The sequence below is a fragment of the Homo sapiens genome, chromosome 15, assembly GCF_000001405.40.
Source record: "Homo sapiens chromosome 15, GRCh38.p14 Primary Assembly".
Lineage (NCBI taxonomy): Eukaryota > Metazoa > Chordata > Mammalia > Primates > Hominidae > Homo > Homo sapiens.
In genome coordinates, this window is record NC_000015.10 from 92,925,879 (window position 1) to 92,947,094 (window position 21,216).

Sequence of the window (21,216 nt, forward strand, 5' to 3'; positions counted from 1 at the left end):
TTGATTTTCTTCAGCTTACTTCATCATTTTTATGTTGTTGTTGTTGTTGTTAAAGTCATTGTTGATAATGTCCTTTCTTAGTGACATTGTTGGATCATTTTTCATAAAGATGAGACAGGGTCTTGCTCTGTCCCCCAGGCTGGAGTGCAGTGGTGCAATCACAGCTCACTGCAGCCTTGATCTTCTGGGTTCAAGTGATCCTCCCACCTCAGCCTCCCAAGTAGCTGGGACTACAGGCACGTATTGACACACCTGTCTAATTTTTAAATTTTGTTGTAGAGACAGGATCTCCCTACGTAGCCCAGGCTGATCTTGAGCTCCTGAACTCAAGCCATTCTTCTGCCTGGACCTCCCAGGGTGGTGGGATTACATGCCTGGCCCTACACTTTTAAATACAAACATTTCACAAGTCTCAGCTAGTGGCTTCTTTTGTGCATGTTCTGAACCTTACTTTTCCAAATATTCTCATGACGTTAGCTGTCACCTGTAATTTGATAACCCATATTTCTCATCTCAGCTTTTGCTACTTGCTTAATTTCTGTTACACCTTTTCATGTCAGTGTTCCACAATCCATTCAAATTCCTTTTGCTTATGTGTGATTCTGTTAAAAGAATACAGAATATACTTAGTAGTAGTTATCTCTGGGGAAGAAAGTGAAAATGATTTTTCTCCTCAACTAATCTGTCTTTTAAACTTTTTAAATCACTGGTGAGGATTGTTACAGGTCTTAAAGGTTGTTACAGGTCTACAAAAATCAGGTCTTAAAGGCAAAGGGCTAATTACTGCTACAGAATAAAAAATAGATGTGTTAGAGAAAGGGTGGCAGTGGTTCTCATTCTGAGAACTTCTAGCTAAGTGTTAGCAATGCCTCATCTGCGTTTATCTGGGATGTTACATGACCTGAGGAACTTAAAGAAAAATACAAATTCCTGATTCTTACTTAATTAGACTTAATGGGGGCTTTGCCGCTTGTATTTTCAGTTTCACAGGTGTGGGTTAGTGCAGTCAAGACTGAAACTCAAAGCAGTAGGGAATTTAAAATGTATCAGTAAATACTTTGTCTTTAGTGGAAGCAGCCGCTGTCTTACCTTTCTGTATTATTCAGCTGTATATTTTAATGATGGGTAAGCGGTGTACCATATAGATTTATAGCTGTTAAGTAATGAAGACATTGTTAAACTAATATTTCCTAGGATAATATGCCTATTTTAAAAAAAATGGCGCTTTATTGTCTCATAAATAGAACTAGCAAAACAACCCTTTTGATACTTGGTTACTTGAATTCTCTTCAATTGCAATAAACGTTTGATAATAATAATGGGGGTCAAGAAAAAAGATTAATGCGTGGTCTCTTAATTTTACAGATGTGGGAAGAATATCCTGATGTTTATGGGGTCAGGCGGTCAAACCGAAGCAGACAAGAACCATCGCGATTTAATATTAAGGAAGAGGTAAGGAAAAAATGTTTTAAGGGCATGCATTTAAACTCCCTATCTTACTTCATTCTTTCTGACTCTGGTATGTATTACCATTAAAAAGACTGAACTTCAGGCATGAGGGTTAAGTGACTCTAATATGAGCTATCTATGACCAGATACAGTAAGGCAAGAAGTTAATAATCAAATAAAAGAATCTAACCAGAAAGATCATATAATAGTGAATTTTTTAGTAGAGTATTATACAGAACTGACCTCAAAATGGTTTATTTTTTAAGTTGTCTCTCATAGTGAAAATTGATTATATATAGCAAGAAGTTTACCTTTTTAAGCCCCTAACTTCTAAATCTCCTAGATATTTATTAAATGGGTAACTTGTTTGGTAAACAAACAGAGCAATAGAAATAGTTTGGGATTTATTCCTGAAAGAGGAGGGAGTGCTTAATTAATGTATCTACTTTTATTTAACTTCTTAAATTTGGTTTCCTTGCTCATTTTTAGTGTGAGATATAATAAAATGAGTTTCAAACATACTTACTCTAATTGTGAGAGATTGATCAGTGATTTTTTTAAATTGGTATTCTATACCAGGCTTGGTTGTCTATAGAATCAGACTTCTTTCACCTTTCTCATTTTGTGTGATATTTTTGTGGATTCTTATTCTGAATTAGGTTTATAGACTAGATCCTGAAGAGAGATTCTTTTGTCTCAATGAAATGTCTACTTTCTGCTTTCTTGGGAGGACTTTGCTAGTCTTAGCTATATAACGTACTTCTGATGAAAGTTAAATATTGATAGCCACAGGTCAGTGAGTTGGGTGTGGGTTTTTAAATAAATGTACCTTAAAAATCTAATTCACCCTAACATCTGCATTACATTTGTGATGTTTTATTTTGAGTGACCTCTGAGCTGTTTTGCCTTTGCTTTTGTTTTCCATAGTGTCTCGCACTAGGTTACTGAGCCATGTTTGTTAAAACCAATCACATAGTTGTAGAAATCTTTCCCTCTTTTACATATTAATTAACACATTCTCTGTAGGGTACAAGATTAACAGCAATAGGAATAGTTTGCCATTTTCCTTAATTGTGGAGAGAAAGAGCTACTGAAATGTCTGTGACTGTAAGCTTTCCTTGGCCTAGTGCTGTTAGCAGAGCACTGTTGGCTCATGAGTGAACATACTCTTAAATGAGTCTAAAATGAATACATCAGTAGTTGGTGCCTTTAAGGCACACTGACTAAATGTTGTGGCATTTTTATTTGATAGTCTCAATCTGCAGTATCCAGTATGGTCCCCACTACTCACATGTGGCTTTTAAAATTCGCATTAGTTAAAAATAAAACTTCCATTTCTCAGTCACACCAGTCACATTTTAAGCGCTTGGTAGTCACATGTGGCTGATGGGTACTGTATTGGACATTGTAGATACAGGACATTTACATCGTTGCAGAAAGTTATTGGATATTGCTGTTCTGGAAGTCAAGCTGAGATAAATATTTCCTGGCTTTAGAGATAACTCAGTGATAGCAGAGAGATATTAATTTTCAAATCAAAAGAAGAGGGAGTTCCACCAAGCAAGTGCTTAGGTTTCTTTGTGTCTAAAAGCTCATATTGAATAATGGTATATTGAGTAGACTGTTGATCCAGGAGATAGTGTTGTCCCGAAGAACTGTGAATTAAAGTCTGTAATCATTTTTCCCCCCTCACACACTGAAGGCAAGTAGCGGGTCTGAGAGTGGGAGCCCAAAAAGAAGAGGCCAGAGGCAGCTGAAAAAACAGTAAGTCTTTCATGGGGGAAATTATTCAATCTAGTAGTTTCAAACTTGTCAGCATTTCTAGGACTGCCTTCGTTGTGTCTTTAGTCTACTCCAGGTCCCTTAGTCTGCTTCTGTCTCTCTTACTAGCTCGGGTGACTGTCTACCTTGACCTGTTGCAATAGCAGCAGCAGCATTGGAAACTCAAGATTCTCAGTTTAACACATGGAAGGGGTCCACGTATACTCGAGCTTTTGCTTGGGATAAATCTCAGCTTCTTCCATCGGGTTAACCCAATTAGCCCATTGATTTTTTTCAGAAAAATATGTATAAATAACAAGTACACAGGTATTTGGTATTGTAGTAAGCAAGGAACAAATGTAGATTTGCTATTTTTATGGCAAAATTATATTGGCTGAACATCCATTTTGGTAAGAAATTACATATTGTTGTTTCTGTATAATTTTAATGTTGCAGTTCATAAGCCAGAAAAATTTAATTTGTGGACTTAATGTGGAGTTTCTTTATAACATAGATTTATATGTTGATTTTTTAATTTAAAAAGTTCGATTTATATGATATGAAATTATTTGATTTTTTTTGAGAAATAATTTTTAAAGTCATTTTTTGGAGAGGGTGTGGATCCCGTTGACAATCTGAATTCTATAGCTTCTCTCAAAAATGTAGATATTCAAAACTTTGTATACCAGTTCAGGGGTTCTCATGTTAAACAGTTGTCCATGGCTTCTATTAAGAGCTCTAGGTACATATGCTCTGTTGTAAAATATTATTACTCTTTAGTAAGTGGCCTAAGGCAAGTCATTTGAGATTTTAAAACCCATTTCCTCATCTCCAAAAAAAAAAATAATACCATCTACCCAACAGGATTATTAGAAACTATGCTAAGATTTTGTGACATTAAATAAATGTAGGGTATTACAGAGCCTTACAGAAAAGTACTTAATTTTGCCCTGCTAGAGCGCATTCAGTTTTCATTTGTGTTTTGGAGAAATAGTAACTGTAAGCAAACCTGCACTTGGCATCTTAGAAGGCTTTTGTTCTGCCCCAGTCTCCTGGTCTGCTTGGGAGACTATTATCTGCTTACTGGTCTAATGGCCTTTTGAGTATCTTTCCTGAAATGTCCACCTTGATTACACCCTGGGAAATCCATGCATGTAATCATTACTTCACCATCTGGCTACATTCCTTTGGTCTCTTGACTGCAAGTTAAATGGTGCTATGCTTGAATTCTTGACTTCCTATTTTAATGGCCTTATTTGTGTGTGCAGAAGCCAGCGTTTTTTTCAGTCACTGTATAATACATTGCGCTTACTCTGGTTACTGGCTCATAGTCTTGTCAGCCTTTTTGTTTTGTTTTGTTTTGAGACAGGGTCTCACTCTGTTGCTCAGGCTGGAGTGCAGTGGCTTGATCTCAGCTCACTGCAGCCTTGGCTTGCTGGACTTAATTGACCCACCTAAGCCACTCGAGTAGCTGGGACTACAGGCATGTGCTATCATGCCCAGCTAAGTTTTTAAAAATTTATTGTATAGATGGGGTCTCACTATGTTTCTCAGGCTGGTTTCAACCTCCTGAGCTCAAGCAGTCCTCCAGCCTCGGTCTCCTAGGATTACAGGTGTGAGCCACTGTGCCCCGCCACTTATCAGTCTTAAGAATTCCCCAAAGTTGGCAACCTTCAGTAGCATATATGGACCTTTCTTTTCCTGAGTAGAACCTCTTAGTTCCTTGCAGAGTGGGATCTGTCTTCTTTTTCATATTGCTTCCCTACCCTAGGGCTGTTCATAGGAACTGCCTTGGGCTGAGATAGTTCCCCTCATGTTCCTGTGTTTGGGCACTGGGCTAGCCTTCGTTTCTGCTATTCTCTGGCCAGCTGGTGAGTATTGTGGATTTACAGAGAGCTCTTCTCCTGAGTCACCAGTTGAGATTCCTGAAAGATTAATTAGGGGAGGTCTTGTAGCTGCTGACACTCAAGTTGCAAGGCACTTTAGGAGCCTTCTGTGATCCAAGCTGAGCAAGTGTAACATAACCTAATGTGTGGTCACATGCATTTCAGAATTCAGACTCACTCAGAGAGTGAAAGGTTTGAAATATTGGCACAAAGAAATGCTTTTCTGAAACCCTGCAGATTTTATTCACACATTTTAGAGTTTTTAAAAAGGGACCATTTTGTAAAATTGGTTTAAAAAAATTAATTCCAAACTTTAGGAAAGTTGCAAGAATAAAAGTGCAGTACAAAGGACACCTTATATACTTTACCCAGATTACCATTTTTCCTCCATTTGCTTTATTATTATGGGTGCTGTTTATTTAAGAGAGAGGGTCTTGCTCTGTCACCTAGGCTAGAGTGCAGTGGTGCAACCTTGGCTCTCTGCAGCCTCAATCTCCTGAGCTCAAGTGATCCTCCTACCTCAGCCTCCCAAGTAGCTGGGACGACAGGCGTGCACCACCATGCCTGATTTTGTATTTTTGTAGACATAGAGGTCTCACTACGTTGCCCTGGCTGTTCTCAAACTCCTGGCCTCAAGTTATCCTCTCACCTTGCTCTCCAAAAGTGTTGGGATTAGCATACGTGAGCCACTGCACCCAGCCTGTGTATATTTATATATATACAAACATAATGTTTTTTATGAACTATTTGAGACTAAAATTCATAAAATTTTACCTTTTATCCCTTTACCTTAAATATGTAAGGTGTATTTCTTAAAAATAAGGATTTTCTCTTTTATAAGCACAGTACAGTACAGATTCAACTTAGATTTAAAACATTGCTGACGTACTTTTTTTTTTTTTTTTTTGAGACGCAGTCTGGCTTTGTCGCCAGGCTGGGGTACAGTGGCGCAATCTCGGCTCACTGCAGCCTCCGCCTCCGGGGTTCAAGCAATTCTCCTGCCTTAGCCTCCCGAGTAGCTGGGACTACAGGCGTGCGCCACCACGTCCAGCTAATTTTTTCTATTTTTAATAGAGACGGGGTTTCACCATGTTGGCCAGGATGGTCTCAGTCTCTTGACCTCGTTATCAGCCTGTCTTGGCCTCCCAGAGTGCTGGGATTGCAGGCTTGAGCCACCGCACCTGGCTGCTGATGTACTTTTGTCTGATTCATATTTCAGTTTTGTCAATTAACCCAATAAAGTCTTTCATAATATTTTTCCATCTCTACTACAGGATCTAGTTTAGGGTCAGTTACATACAATTAGTTGCACATCTTTTTTTTTTTTTTTAATTGTACTTTAAGTTCTAGGGTGTATGTGCACAATGTGCAGGTTTGTTACATATGTATACATGTGTCATGTTGGTGTGCTGCACCCGTTAACTCGTCATTTACATTAGGTATATCTCCTAATGCTGACCCTTCCCCCTCCCCCCCACCCCATGACAGGCCACAGTGTGTGATGTTCCCCACCCTGTGTCCAAGTGTTCTCATTGTTCAATTCCCACCTATGAGTGAGAACGTGCGGTGTTTGGTTTTCTGTCCTTGCGATAGTTTGCTCAGAATGATGGTTTCTAGCTTCATCCATGTCCTTACAAAGGACATGTCTGATTTCTTTAATTGGGAGCACTTTCACAGCCTTCTTTTGCTTTTAGGACATTGATGTTTTTGAAGAATGCAGTCTTGCAAGGGACTGTGTTCTTTGCAGAATTACGAAGAGACCAATTACCCCGTCACGATTTGTATTAGGTTTTTATTTTTTGGGATGGACTCTCGCTCTGTCGCCCAGGCTGGAGTACGATGGCGCAATCTCAGCTCACTGTGACTCAAGTGATTCTCCTGCCTCATCCTCCTGAGTAGCTGGGATTACAGGCATGCGCCACTGTGCCCAGCTGATTTTTGTATTTTTAATAGACATGGGGTTTCACCATGTTGCCCAGGCTGGTCTTGAACTCCTGACCTCAGGTGATCCACCCGCCTCAGCCTCCCTAAGTGCTGGGCTTATAAGATGAGCCACCGCGCCCGGCCCCTTTTTTTTTTTTTTTTTAAGTTAAAGAGACAGGGTCTTCCTCTATTGGTGCACATGTGTGGCCATAGCTCACTGCAACCTTGAACTCCTGAGCTCAAGTGATCCTCTTGCTTCAGTCTCCCCAGTAGCTGGGACTGTAGGCACGTACAACCACATCCAGCTGTATTCATACTTTTAAAGCTTAGAAGAAGTTATACAGCACAATGGACCTGCACAATATTTAAAATATTTTTAAATTAGTTAGCATCATTTAATTGAGAGTGCATAACAATCTGTGTTTTTAGCTTCTTTTGAGAAAATTTGGTAATGCTGGCTTATGTAACAGTGATGGACCAGGAGTTCTCCATTTTGCCTTGTTTGCAGTTCTCATCTGGCCCCTGTGAGTATTTGAGATTGTAATCTCTGACTTAGAGTCATACAAACAAACAAAACATTGAACTTTTTTTAACCAACTCAGATGCTGTTTTGATTAAACTCTTTTTTTCATGCATTACCTCTTAATGTTATCCAAATTGCGCAGTGTTGTATAAGATTTTTGTTGACTTCTGGTCCTGGTGGTTTTGTTTTGTTTTTGTTTTTGAGACGGCGTTTTATTCTTACCAGGTGGGAGTGCAGTGCAGTAGCACATTCACAGCTCACTGCAGCTTTGACCTCCTGGGCTCAAGTGATTCTCCCACCTTAGCCTCCTGAGTAGTTGGGACTGCAGGCGCACACCACCACACCAAGCTAATTTCTTAATTTTTTGTAAAGGCTGGGTCTCACTCTGATGCCCAGGCTGGCCTTGAACTCCTTGGTTCAAGCCATCCTCCCACCATGGCCTCCCAAAGTGTTGGGATTACAGGCATGAGCCACTGTGCCCGGCCCTTTTCCAGTGTTTTGAATTGGAGATTGTCACATACCTGTAACACAGTGGAAGGGAATCCCTATTAGCCTCAGATTTCTGTTGATCATTGGAATTTTTTTTTCAAAAGCATGCTTTCTTGGGGAAATCTACTGAAGACTGAGGAAACAAAAGTAGCTACTTCCCTCTTCCAGATGTCTTCTAAGTGGAGGAAAAAGGAGTTTTCTTTTTTACAGACAGTTAATAGCAAGCCTTACCAACTCTTGGTCAAAGTTCTGGCTCATTATATTTAAAAGTAGCTTTTGTTCATTTCCTACTTTACAGTTGATTAGATTTGATTTGTCTGTCTTAGGATTTGTGTCTAGCCAACCACCTTTTCCCAATAAAGGAAGAAAACTATACACATTTAAATTGCATTTTGACTTTTTCCATGTCTATTTACATTGCCTTGGGGCCTCTTGGCTAAATCTTGGTATTTTTCTCCCTAGTTCTCAAAATTTCGGGAAAAATTTAGTTGAATTATGTGTTTTTACAGTATCTAGGGGGGACTCTGTTAATGGCCTCTAAAGCTGGATATTGTAAGTTTCCTTTGATAGACATTTTTTGCTCACGATCTCATATCTTAAACTATTCTTTATTGTAGACTGACTTACAATGTATGGCTTAGTGGTGGAGTCTTGATAAGATTTGCATTTTATAAGAGGCCAGTAATGTAGGAGAGGACAGCAGTTTCACATGTGGGAGAGCCTTATACATCTGTAGGGTTGGGAAGTAATTTCTTTGTAACAGCTCAGTCACTTTTTTCACTTCACCCATTCTTCACAGTGACTTAGTATTGCTGGTCCTTACTATCTTTTTTCTCGTTCTTGAAAATGAAAAGAAAACGTGAAAGAATCCAACCAATTTCAAATATACATACACACACACTTAGGCCTTTTAAACCTTGAGTTTTTCAAATACTCCCAGGACGTGTAAGCCTGGCTTTAATGTTTCCTGATTCTTTGGTCCTCAGTGAGTTATGATTGAAAGTAGCAGGGCTGAGGGTTGGTGATATGGCCAAGCAACTCATTTCCTCACTGCACTTCAGTTTCCTTCTCTGGGAGGAGAACTTTGGACTAGTTGATTTGCTAAGTTTTTTTTTTCTTTCTTTCTTTCTTTTTTTTTTTTTTGAGAACAGAGTCTCGCTTTGTCACCTAGGCTGGAGTGCAGTGGCCCGATCTCGGCCCACTGTAAGCTCCACCTCCCGGGTTCACGCCATTCTCCTGCCTCAGCCTCCAGAGTAGCTGGGACTACGGGCGCCCGCCACCACGCCTGGCTAATTGTTTTGTATTTTTAGTAGATACGGGGTTTCACCACGTTAGCCAGGATGGTCTCAATCTACTGACCTCGTGATCCGCCCGCCTCGGCCTCCCAAAGTGCTGGGATTACAGGCGTGAGCCACCGCGCCCGACCTTTTTTGCATTCTTATATTGGGAGATTCTAAGTCCTCCTGGTTGTTCATAAGTCTGTAAATCTGTAATCTAACTGGAAAACTCTAGCCTCAACACATCCATTCTCTGTGTTTGCTGTCTGCTATACTTATAGAAGTGGACCTCATTGGTGGCCCTGGTTTAGGTTCTCAATTCCTGGGGGAGATATGGTAATTAGAATTTATTGGTGAATCTTTCTTATCTGAAGGACTAGCTGTTCATATTCCTTCAAGCATGCTTCTACTTCTCTCCAGTTTGACTGTGTAAGCCCCCTCTGAGGGGTAAACTGTTGTGGACTTGGTCTGAGGGAGACTGCAGACTCATGCTGGTCTCCCACTTACTGTAAACATCTTCCTTTCTTCCTTCCTGGTGATCACCTTATATTCCTTGGATTCTTAGCAAACATTTATTGTACTATGCTCCGGGGAAGCAGAATTAGACCAGTGTCCAGAGTGTATATACGAAGGTCTTTGTTTTAAAGAGACTGAAGGATATTAGGCAATACTAACAGGCCTTTCTGTCTTACCAGAAGCACCCCTACCCGTCTGACTGATAGACTAATTGCGCATTCTTTCATTGATTTTTTTTTTTTTAACCTAACAAAGAAACATCTCCATTTGCCTGACTTTGGCTAAACTCTGGTACAAAGACGAACAAAAAGTCTTGGTGTACAAGGACCCATCTACTGGGGAAATGCATATGGAAACACGCAGTGCTAGTAGAAGTTGAATAATATTCATAAAATTGCTCCACTGACCGTCCGTGGAAGGCCTGAATTGTTGTTTTTTCCCCCTAAGGTCTCCACCAATTCAGGTTTAGGGTGACCGTTGTAGCTTTTAGGAAGGTTCTCAATCTGCACATCAGCCACCTCCTTTCAATAAGCTTTCACCATTACTTGACCTGTTCTCCCATGAAGAATATTGATTTGACATTTGTCTTGTTGTAGCTGTTGTCTTTAGTATGACCTCATTCCCTATAAAGTGACCCATAGGCAAATTGGTAATTGTTTGATTTACAGAGAAGCCCCAGGCACTTGCCTGTCAGTTTTTTCCTAGGTATTTCATGCCTAGCAGCTATTACATGTTTCTTCCCTCTTCTCTGTAGGTGAGAAATGAGTGGGGTCCCTGCAATATCTTGTTGGATTTTCAAGTAAACTAAAACTGTTTGGGATAGTAGGACGCCTGTAGGTTATGGCTCTTTCAAGCCTTCTAAGAATTCAAGGAGCAAAGGAACATCTACTGTATCTAATAATTATTAAAAACTACATCTTTAGCTGAACAGATTAGTTATATGATAGGTTTATTGTTGAAAAATAATTTTAGGGACTGTTTCCTTAAATGTATTCTAGAGACTTAAAATATCTAGTATAGTGGTTCTCAGAGTTTCTACCCAGTATCAGCATTACTTGAATTTGTTGAAATTCATATTTTTTAGGCCTCAACTGAGACCTACTGCATCAGGAGCTCTGACTAGGGCCCAGAAATCTTTTTTTTTTTGATGGAGGAGGGGCAGATAGGGGCAGGGTTTCACTCTTAACCGCCTAGGGTGGAGTACAGTGGCAAAATCACAGCTGACTGCAACCTCAAACTCCTGGGTTCAAGTGATCCTTCCGCCTCCTCAGCCTCCTTAGTAACTAGGACTGTAGACATGCTCCACCAGGCCTGGCTCAATTTTAAAATTTTAACTTTAATTTTTCTGGAGAGGTGTCTTGTATTGCTCAGCTTGGTCTTGAGCTCCTGGACTCAAGTGAAACTCCCACCTTGGCCTCCCAAAGTGCTGAGATTACAGGCATGGACCATCTCACTTGGCCCAGAAATCTTTTTTAACAAGCCCTTTAGGTGGTCCTGATAACATTTTAAAATTTTGGAAGCACTGATCTTGTGCATGTTATGGTTTCAATCTTGTCAATAAGAGTAGTAAATGAAAAAAGTACATATATATCCATTTTTATTTATTTTTGTTACTGGAGATAAAATAGGAATCGATATTATGTAGTCCAGGAAGGATCACAATTCAAGTTTAAATGGAGCTAGAATCTCTTTTAGCATGTCTAAAATGTGCATGTTCTGCCCTTTGGATAGTAAAATTGAAATTGGTTTTGTCGGATTATTTATCTTGAAGGATTCTTTTAGAAAAAAATTACTTTGTTTTGCTTTTGATCACAGAGAAAAATGGAAACAGGAACCCTCAGAAGATGAACAGGAACAAGGCACCAGTGCAGAGAGTGAGCCAGAACAAAAAAAAGTAAAAGCCAGAAGACCTGTCCCCAGAAGGTGCACTGTTTGCTTAAGATCTCTACTTGGGATGAGCTTAATCTGCTGTAGATTGGGAAGGATAATGTCGTGCTGAAATGAGAGCTTTAATGAGATGCATTGTGTTTTGATTCTGCGTTTTAGATATCTGTGGTTCACTTTCAGCCAGCCTACATTGCAGGTCTTACTGCTTCTTTCTTCGCAGACTGGCTATCGTGGGGCAAACATGTCTTCCGCTTTTAGTAAAACTCCTTATATGTTTGGCCAGGGTACAGTCTCTTTTTGGGAGAACAAATTGTTTAAAACACTGTTTGCCTGGCTTAAAGCATACTTGAGTGGTTTATTACCTTGTTCATAAAATCTATATAACATTAAACAAATAATCTGATTGTGTAGAGAAGGAGGTAGGCTGAAATAGCAGCAAATTATGCTAATTTTTGATAAGACAGATGGCAGCCTAAGATAGTGATGACAGGAAAAGGGAGTCAGAAGACAGGCCCCAGGGAAAATTACCTCCTTGTAGTATTGCTTAGAATGGACTCAGCAAACTATGCCCTTTGGGCCAAATTTCATCCACCACCTATTTTCATATGGCCTGTGAGCTAAGAATAGTTTTTATAGATGAACATTTCTAATTTACAGTTTAAGGATAGAGAGCACTAAATTTGAACTCCAATTAAGTGAAATGTTATCCCCTCAAAAACAATTCTGTTCTCATTAGTAGATATATATTGCAGTAAATGTACCTGATTATTTCATTTTGAATTATTTAAAAAAATTTGTGAAAATTTATTTTCTTTCATTATGTAAGGACCTATACATTGGTCCCCATTTTGCCTCTTGGCTGGCAGAGCCTAAAATATTTACTCTCTGGCCATTTACAGAAAAAGTTTGCCAACCTCTGGCCTAGGACATTGTACTTACCCCCCAACACCAGCAGGGGAATTTGTCAACTGAATTTTATCTTATTTTATCTCAGCTTAATAAGTTTATCTCAGAACTGTCACGCCAGTTCTGTCTTTTAGAATTTTGCTCATTATTTATTACATCGTTGATCATCTGTTTAGGTTTGGTTATGAGAAAGGTATGGGAGGTATGAGAGAAAGAGATAATAAATGTGATCATGAGTATCCATTTCTCTCCCTCTCTGACTTCTTTCACCTTTTTATCACTGATGGAATATTTGGGGATTTCCTTAGGTGAGCTTCTAGACTGTGGCTTTCAATCCTGGCCATCTCCCTGGTCTGTCCAAGTTAATTCTGTGATAGGGCACACAGTCTCTCAGGTAGTATTCCAGGTATATTTTATACACATACAGTAAAAACTTATGTATAGTTACTTCTTGTGCTTTACTTTCTTCACACAGATAATAGCATCCTCTGCTGCTTGTTCTGTAGGTTTCTTTATCCTGGAAATCCTTTCGTATTAGTATACAAAAAACTCTTTTTTTTTTTCTATGAGTACATGGTACTGTTTAGTTTCCAGTTGAAGAATATTTAGAGTTTTCTTAATGTTTTGTTGTTGCAAATAATGCTATAGTGAATACTTTATTATGCCTGTTTAGGTGTATATCAATAGGATTAATTCCTACAAGTAAAACTGTTAATTCCTACAAGTAAAATAGTTTGATAGCTATTTCCAGTTTGCCCACCAAAGAGATACTATCATGAACAACATGCTGTGTATGTGTTTTTATATCAGGTAATCCTGATGAACATTTGTGAAACATTCACGTTCTTTCCCATAAATGATTGAGGATTATCAGCATTAGAATGACCTTCCTGTTGGAAATCCAGATTTCTAGTGAATTAGAATTTCAGGGAGTAGGGCCCAAGAATATGCATGTTTAACATTCCCCAAGTGAAATGTTACATTCTGATGTATGAACCACTGCTCTGGGAAATACTGTTATATAAAGTAGACACCAAATGATAAAGTGAAGACTTAGCCTTTTGTTTCTCTTCTCATTTTAGAACAGTGCCCAAACCTCGTGTTAAAAAGCAGCCGAAGACTCAGCGTGGAAAGAGAAAAAAGCAAGATTCTTCTGATGAGGATGATGATGATGACGAAGCTCCCAAAAGGCAGACTCGTCGAAGAGCGGCTAAAAACGTTAGGTAAGTTGTACCCCAGAAGTGTTTCACTGGTGTGATGTGATAAAGTAGTTGGTTAGATTTTGGTTCTCATAAGTCCGGGGTTGTGCACTTAATAGATAAAAATAACAGCCTATGTCCTGAAGTTGTTTTCAGAAATCTGGTTAGCTTTCTTGCAAAAAGAGTGGTATTGAGCCAAGGGGAATAGGAAAAGAGTAGCAATAGCTCATTTGAAGCCTTCATTCCTAAAAAACACCACAAGTTCGTGTCCTGTCCAATGGTGACTTAGTGGCATTATCTTCATTTCATAACATTTTTTTCCATTAAAGATATTTGGATTATATTCCTACTTCTGAATTGCTCTTTGAATCACAGACGTTTTTCTGAGGTTCAGCTTAACGTATTGCTACTTGAATCTGATTTTATCAAGTACTAATAGGATATGAAGCATTAATAGGAATTATCATTAGTGAAATAGGCCAGGCTCAGTGGCTCATGCCTGTAATTCCAACACTTTGGGAGGCCGAGGCAGGCAGATTGCTTGAGCCCAGGGGTTTGAGACCAGCCTAGACAACAGGGCGAGACCCTGTCTCTACAAAAAATAAGAAAAAGCCGAGTGTGGTGGCGGCATGCACCTGCAGTCCCAGCTACTTGGGAGGCTGAGGTGGGAGAATCCTGGGAGATGGAGGTTGCAGTGAGTTGAGATCACGCCACTGCACTCCACTCCAGGCAAAAAAGCTAGATCCTGTCTCAAAAAGAAAAAGGAAAATGAAATAAAGGAACAGATATATGCAAACACTAGTAGTTTACTTTATAGAAATCAAGTATTTTTTTTTTTAGATTTTACAGATTTGTTCTTCATAGAGATGGTGAAAATGAATCCTAGAGATATTCATAACTTATTCAATGTATCCAGTTAATAATTCCAAAGCTAGGACTGGGCTTTGAGTATGCTAGTGTATAGCCTAGCACTTTTTCTTACTGTAACTGTACTACATCCAGGATTGTTTTTCTTTCTTGTGACTCAATCATTCATTGTTAATATGTGATAGGAAGTTACATATATAAAAATATATATAAAAAATATAAAAAATATATAAATATATAAATAAATATAAATATATATAAATATTATAAATATATAAAAATATATATAAATATATAAATATATAAAAATATACATATAAATATATATAAAAATATATATAAATATATATATAAATATACATATAAATATATATAAAATATATATAAATATAAATATATATAAATATAAATATAAATATAAATATATATATAAATATATATATATAATTTTTTTTTTTGAGACGGAGTCTTGCTGTGTTGCCCAGGCTAGAGTGCAGTGGCGCGATCTTGGATCACTGCAACCTCTGCCTCCCGGATTCAAGTGATTCTGCTGCCTCAGCCTCCAGAGTAGCTGGGATTACAGGCGCCCACCATGCCGGCTAATTTTTGTATTTTTAATCGATACGGTCACCATGTTGGCCAGGCTGGTTTCTAACTCCTGACCTCGTGATTCACCTGTGTCAGCCTCCCAAAGTGCTGGGATTACAGGTGTGAGCCTCCGCGCCTAGCCAATATGTTTCTTTTTTTAAACCAGGAAGTATTTGTGTTGAAGCTTCCAGCAGTCTGGGAATACTTAAATTTCATATTCTTATTACTGGGAGACAACATACAGGGTTGACATTTTTAATTTTAGAAATATTGCTTCTCTTTTTGCCTGATGAAATAGTAGCAAATTTTTTCTTCCATTATGGTTTTTCTTTTTTTGTGTGGTAGTCTACTTGTTTACATAATAATCTGATACTAAAAAATGAAAAAAATAGAAGTGTCCTTATAGTTTTCTATATCTTGCTTATACAAATCAGTATAAATATAGAATTTTTATTTTCAAATTGAGTTAGACTCCCTACAGTTGTTTAGGAGCATTCATCAGCACTTTAGGAAAAAAAAGTAAGCTTTGAGCCTACTGTAAATGGCAGATCTATAAAACAACATGCTTTTGGAACCAAAAGGGTATGGTTTCTTATTCTAGTGACGGTTATGTGTGGCAGTTTAATTCTGAAGAGATCATTTCTCATTTATTCAGCATTATTCCTCTTGCAGTTACAAAGAAGATGATGACTTTGAGACTGACTCAGATGATCTCATTGAAATGACTGGAGAAGGAGTTGATGAACAGCAAGATAATAGTGAAACTATTGAAAAGGTCTTAGATTCAAGACTGGGAAAGAAAGGAGGTATGTGTATTTGGGGAGCAAATTACATTTTATGTATGCTTAGTAAGACTTAGATTTTAGGTATTTTAACTCTAATGTGATGAATTTTAGTCTACTGCTGTATTTGTTGTGATATGTAGAAGTCTTTCTGACCCAGTGTTTCAGAGCTGAGGACAAAGGTATGTGTACACTATGTCTTTAAGATTTTAAATTAAGCTAGTATAGATAAGTGTCAATGTTTTATAAAGCAGTGATATAGCAGAGATACCTGCTAATTAACATTAAGCAAATCCACCTTTGGTTATTTGTTTCTTAAGCTCCTTGTGAAAATATCAAACTGGTTAAATAAATATTGTGGTAATATTGAAGATTTTTAAATATCTAATTTAGATATCTCATAACTAAGTTGCATTAAAGTAAACTTTCTGTAAAGGAAATACCAAAATAATACTTAATGCTTTTTCTTTTGGCTTTTTTTTTTTTTTCTTTTTTTCATTCTGGCTTCGATTGAGGTTAAGAAAGTTAACCGGGGACTTCGAGTAGGGGAGGTTGGAGGAGGATATTTTGGTGTTCTATCCTTAGTCTTGGAGAGAGGGATTTGTTTTCCGAGTTAGTAAGGGACCAAAACAAAAGGATGTTGCTGCTCTGTTTTTATTGTTTTTGAATAAGGGATTTCTTTGATTTCACCTGCAAATTTAGGAATATGTAAAAAGTGGTTTACATTTTTAAAATACTTGAAATTTTTGATTGAGTCCGTTCTGTGTTGTTTGTGAGTTTGTACTTATTTCAAGTTGAAGTATTTTGGTGCTTCATCCACAAAGGGAGTCTTCAGATAATTGCATTCTTGGGAAGCTTTTTAATATCTGGTGTAATATACTCTCTTTCAAGTGTACTTAATCCTTTTGCAGCCACTGGAGCATCTACTACTGTATATGCGATTGAAGCTAATGGCGACCCTAGTGGTGACTTTGACACTGAAAAGGATGAAGGTGAAATCCAGTACCTCATCAAGTGGAAGGGTTGGTCTTACATCCACAGCACATGGGAGAGTGAAGAATCCTTACAGCAACAGAAAGTGAAGGGCCTAAAAAAACTAGAGAACTTCAAGAAAAAAGAGGACGAAATCAAACAATGGTATATTTTCCATCATGGATTAAAGAAATGTATTTGCAGCCTGAAAGAAGGGAAGGTTTTAAAATAATGCATGGAGATCACAGCTATCTAGAATCTCAGATTTTGCTTTGATCATCTAAACATGGAGCCATTTACAATTCTATTTTATAAGATTGTGACCTTCAGATACTATATTTTTATATGTGGCTACCAAGTTTTTGGAGTTAACTAGCTTATGGAGCGTTATTCACACATTCTTTAGTTTTCACAATAAGTGCATGAGATTTGTACTGTTATTACCCATTTTGTAGATGGGGAGAATACGGCACACAGCAATTCTGCAAGTGGACTCAGGTTTTGAATTCTGATGCCCTGAATCCAGAGCTTATTCTCTTAAGCACCTTGTTATTTTCCTGTAGTTAGGCTGGGGTGGCTTAGATGTAGAGAGTTAATATTCTGGAACTCTCTGGGTTATGATATACTTAAAACAAATTCTGGTTTTATACAATTTGCAGAAATGATGTGAAGGAAATTATTAGGTTAACTACTGAAACTGTGATAGTCCTCGTGTGTTTAGTTTACTTACAGCCTTGAATGTCTGGGTGTTGTATATGGGAAATATGTGGAGCTATAGCACACAAAAACCTAAACTGGGTAATAATGGTATCAAGCTCAGCCTGAAGACATACCTGTCTGTGTGGTGTGATTAGCCTATTTTTGTGTCTGGAATGTGCATAGATTTTTGTGTCTGGAATGTGGACAGTAATTCTGGTTTTACTACTGTGCAAAATGTGCTACTTTAGTAAATTACATGTTTTTTCTTTGACTCAAAACTGAAAATATGTACCCCTTAGATGGTGAGGTAGGCTTGTAAAGCAGTTAGAAATTTGAAATCCTCTGAAATATAATAATTCTAATATTAAGTTGCTGCTGTTGTCATCTGAAAGGTTTTGGTAATAAGAATAACTAGTTTTCCAAGTCATGTTTAATCAATCCTAAAACCCATATATATATAAGAAAAGGCGTACAGTTTTATTATCCTGATTTGTTGAGATGTATGAATTTGCCACATGAATCTATCACATAAAAGAGTTATTTTTGGGTCTCTTTTTAGACAGGACACATCAGAGGCAGGTAACTGGTATATCCTTCTATGAGTGTAAGGTTTTCAGTGTTCTCTAAAAGTGTTTTTTTTGTTTGTTTGTTTTGTTTTGTAAAATCTCTGGCGTAATTACTAGTAAAGATTACTTAAGGGGCAGATGGGAGTAAAAAATAGGTTTTCTTTTCCACCTTTGACTTTTGCTTTGATGTATGTGGATCCCCAGACTTTAGTTTATGTGTACTTTTTCTGTCTGTCTGCCATTCAGGTTAGGGAAAGTTTCTCCTGAAGATGTAGAATATTTCAATTGCCAACAGGAGCTGGCTTCAGAGTTGAATAAACAGTATCAGATAGTAGAAAGAGTAATAGGTAAGTACATGGTAACTCACTTCAGCCATATTTGAACTTGAGGAATAGTGGCTTTTGCTTTTGGAAGTAATGTAAATTTTAAAAATGCACTTTGGAGACTAGACACGTGCTAGGTTTATTTTAAAGGAAAAGCTAAGAAGATTTGCTGGTAAATTTGGATGTGGGGGATGAGAGAAAGAGGTGTTAAGTATGACCTCAAGATTTGTGGCCTAAACATGTAGAAGTTTAGAGGTACCATTTACCGAAGTGGAAAGATGAAGGGAAGAGCTGATCATTGGAGTGGAGACCAAGAGCTTAGTTTGATATTTGTAAGTTTGATTTACTTCTTAGTCATCTAAGTGGAGAATATAGTGAAGGCTGGAGCATATGTGAACCTGGAGCTTAGGACTCTTTAGTCTGGGCTGGAGATTTAAATTTGGAAATTTATCAGTATTTAGTATTTAAAGGCCAAGATTGAACAGGACCATCAGAAATAGAGTATCACGTGGTAAGAAGAAGTAGTCTGAGAGCATTTCAGCTTTTGGAAGTCAGAAAGAAGCTAGCAAAGGAGACTGAGAAAGAACAGTCGGTGAGACAGGAGGAGAGCTGAGAGAGAGTGGTGTACTGGAAGCCAAGTGATTCACATAGCCAGGAGAGAGGAAATGCTGTCAGTCAAGGACGATTAGGACTGAGACTTGATCTGTGAATTTGGCACTGGCAAAACGCATCCATGGAGTGGTGAGGGTGCGGCCTGATTAGGGTAGGTTCAAGAGAAAATGAGAGGGGATAGCAAGTATAAACAACTCGTTGGGGGAGTTTTCTTACAAAGGGGAACAGAGAAGTGGAGTGTCAGCCTGAGAGAGAGATGAGAAAAAGAATTTTTTTCTTCTTCTTCTTCTTCTTTTTTTTTTTTTTGAGATGGTGTCTTGCTCTGTTGCCCAGGCTGGAGTGCAGTGGCGTGATCTCAGCTCACTGCAACCTCTGCCTCCCGGGTTCAAGTGATTCTCCTGCCTCAGCCTTCCCAGTAGCTGGGATTACAGGCACCCCCCACCCCCACCACGCCCGGCTAATTTCTATATTTTTAGTAGAGACAGAGTTTCACCATGTTGGCCAGGTTGGTCTTGAACTGCTGGCCTCAAGCAATCTGCCTGCCTTGGCCTCCCAAAGTGCTGGGATTACAGGCGTGAGCCACTATAATCCCATTTTTTTTTTTTCTTTTTTAAGGTGTGAGGTAGTAGAATATATTTACATTTTATTCATAGAACCCAAAATCTTTCATTCTTCATTGTGTTTATAACTTTTCTGTCTTATTTTTTATTTGTTTAGCTGTGAAGACAAGTAAATCTACATTGGGTCAAACAGATTTTCCAGGTAAGCAAGAAATTTTATTTATAAATGTTCTTCAACATTTCAGAACAGTGTATGTTTTGCAGATTATTTTGTTTTGCCACATGATGTTTTATTGATTATGCATAAAACAGAATGTCATTTTTCACTTTTAATTGACAGTTGCTAATCTATAAATTTTTTTTATATGAAATAGCTCATAGTCGGAAGCCGGCACCCTCAAATGAGCCCGAATATCTATGTAAATGGATGGGACTCCCCTATTCAGAGTGTAGCTGGGAAGATGAAGCCCTCATTGGAAAGAAATTCCAGAATTGCATTGACAGCTTCCACAGTAGGAACAACTCAAAAACCATCCCAACAAGAGAATGCAAGGTATGGTGATGGTTGGCTTTTGTTTTTTCAGGGAGAAGATATACTGATAAAGAGGATTGGACACATATGTGCTGAGAAAATATTACAAAATGAAATGATGATTGCCATTTTGAAGTGAAAGAAGGTGATTTAAATATGACATTAAAGCAAAAGGAGAGAATGAATTATTTCATGGCTTTGCTGACTTGTTTAATCTTGCAATTTACATAATTAGAAATAGAGATATTTGAGAGAATACTTGAAAGGATTTAGGCACTTTTATTTTATTTTATTTTATTATTTTATTTTGAGACAGAGTTTCGCTGTGTCGCCCAGGCTGGAGTGCACTGGCACTATCTTGGCTAACTGCAACCTCTGCCTCCTGGGTTTAAGTGATTCTCCTGCCTCAGCCTCCTGAGCAGCTGGGATTACAGGCACGCACCACCACTTCCAGCTAATTTTTTGTATTTTTAGCAGAGATGGGGTTTCACCATGTTGGTCAGGCTGGTCTCAAACTCCTGACCTCAAATGATCCACCCACCTTGGCCTCCCAAAGTGCTGGGATTACAGGCGTGAGCCACCATGCCCAGTTGCATTTAGGCACTTTAAAAGAGAAGTGAAGCCAGTTGCAGTGGCTCACACCTGTGGTTCCAGCTACTTGGGAGGCTGAGGCGGCAGGATTGCTTGAGCACAGGAGTTTGAGGCCAACCTGGGGAAGATTGTGATACCCGTTCTCTAAAAAAAAAAAAAAATAGAGAGCGGGAAGTGATAGAAAAGGCGAGTGTCTTTGAATTCTAAGTTAGAAATTAAATATATAGGCTTATTTGCTAGATTGGCTGAATAAATCCTTTCCTTGGAATTTATTCCATCAGGAAACTGATGTGCTTGGGTCCTCAGTA

The 21,216-nt window shown here is 38.3% G+C and overlaps 1 protein-coding gene across 2 annotated transcripts in view, besides 1 other annotated feature; it reads left to right on the forward strand.

The window, feature by feature from the left end:
- The window catches only part of CHD2 (chromodomain helicase DNA binding protein 2), a 127,673-nt gene that overhangs the window by 25,555 nt on the left and 80,902 nt on the right, over positions 1–21,216 (forward strand). For both annotated transcript variants that reach the window (NM_001271.4, NM_001042572.3), the window contains exons 4-12: positions 1,366–1,452; positions 3,152–3,213; positions 11,640–11,747; positions 13,700–13,840; positions 15,944–16,077; positions 16,965–17,190; positions 18,537–18,637; positions 19,943–19,987; positions 20,160–20,338. In NM_001271.4, the coding sequence (NP_001262.3) occupies positions 1,366–1,452; positions 3,152–3,213; positions 11,640–11,747; positions 13,700–13,840; positions 15,944–16,077; positions 16,965–17,190; positions 18,537–18,637; positions 19,943–19,987; positions 20,160–20,338 (1,083 nt within the window). The remainder of the gene's footprint in view (positions 1–1,365; positions 1,453–3,151; positions 3,214–11,639; positions 11,748–13,699; positions 13,841–15,943; positions 16,078–16,964; positions 17,191–18,536; positions 18,638–19,942; positions 19,988–20,159; positions 20,339–21,216) is intronic.
- Positions 19,279–19,503: a silencer, noted in NCBI's record as "fragment chr15:93488387-93488611 (GRCh37/hg19 assembly coordinates)". NCBI's record gives its function as "represses an EF-1alpha promoter that drives an FKBP-Casp9 reporter gene in an ReSE screen in phorbol 12-myristate 13-acetate-treated (for megakaryocytic differentiation) K562 erythroleukemia cells {active_cell/tissue: K562(+PMA)}" and the evidence as "EXISTENCE:reporter gene assay evidence [ECO:0000049][PMID:32094911]".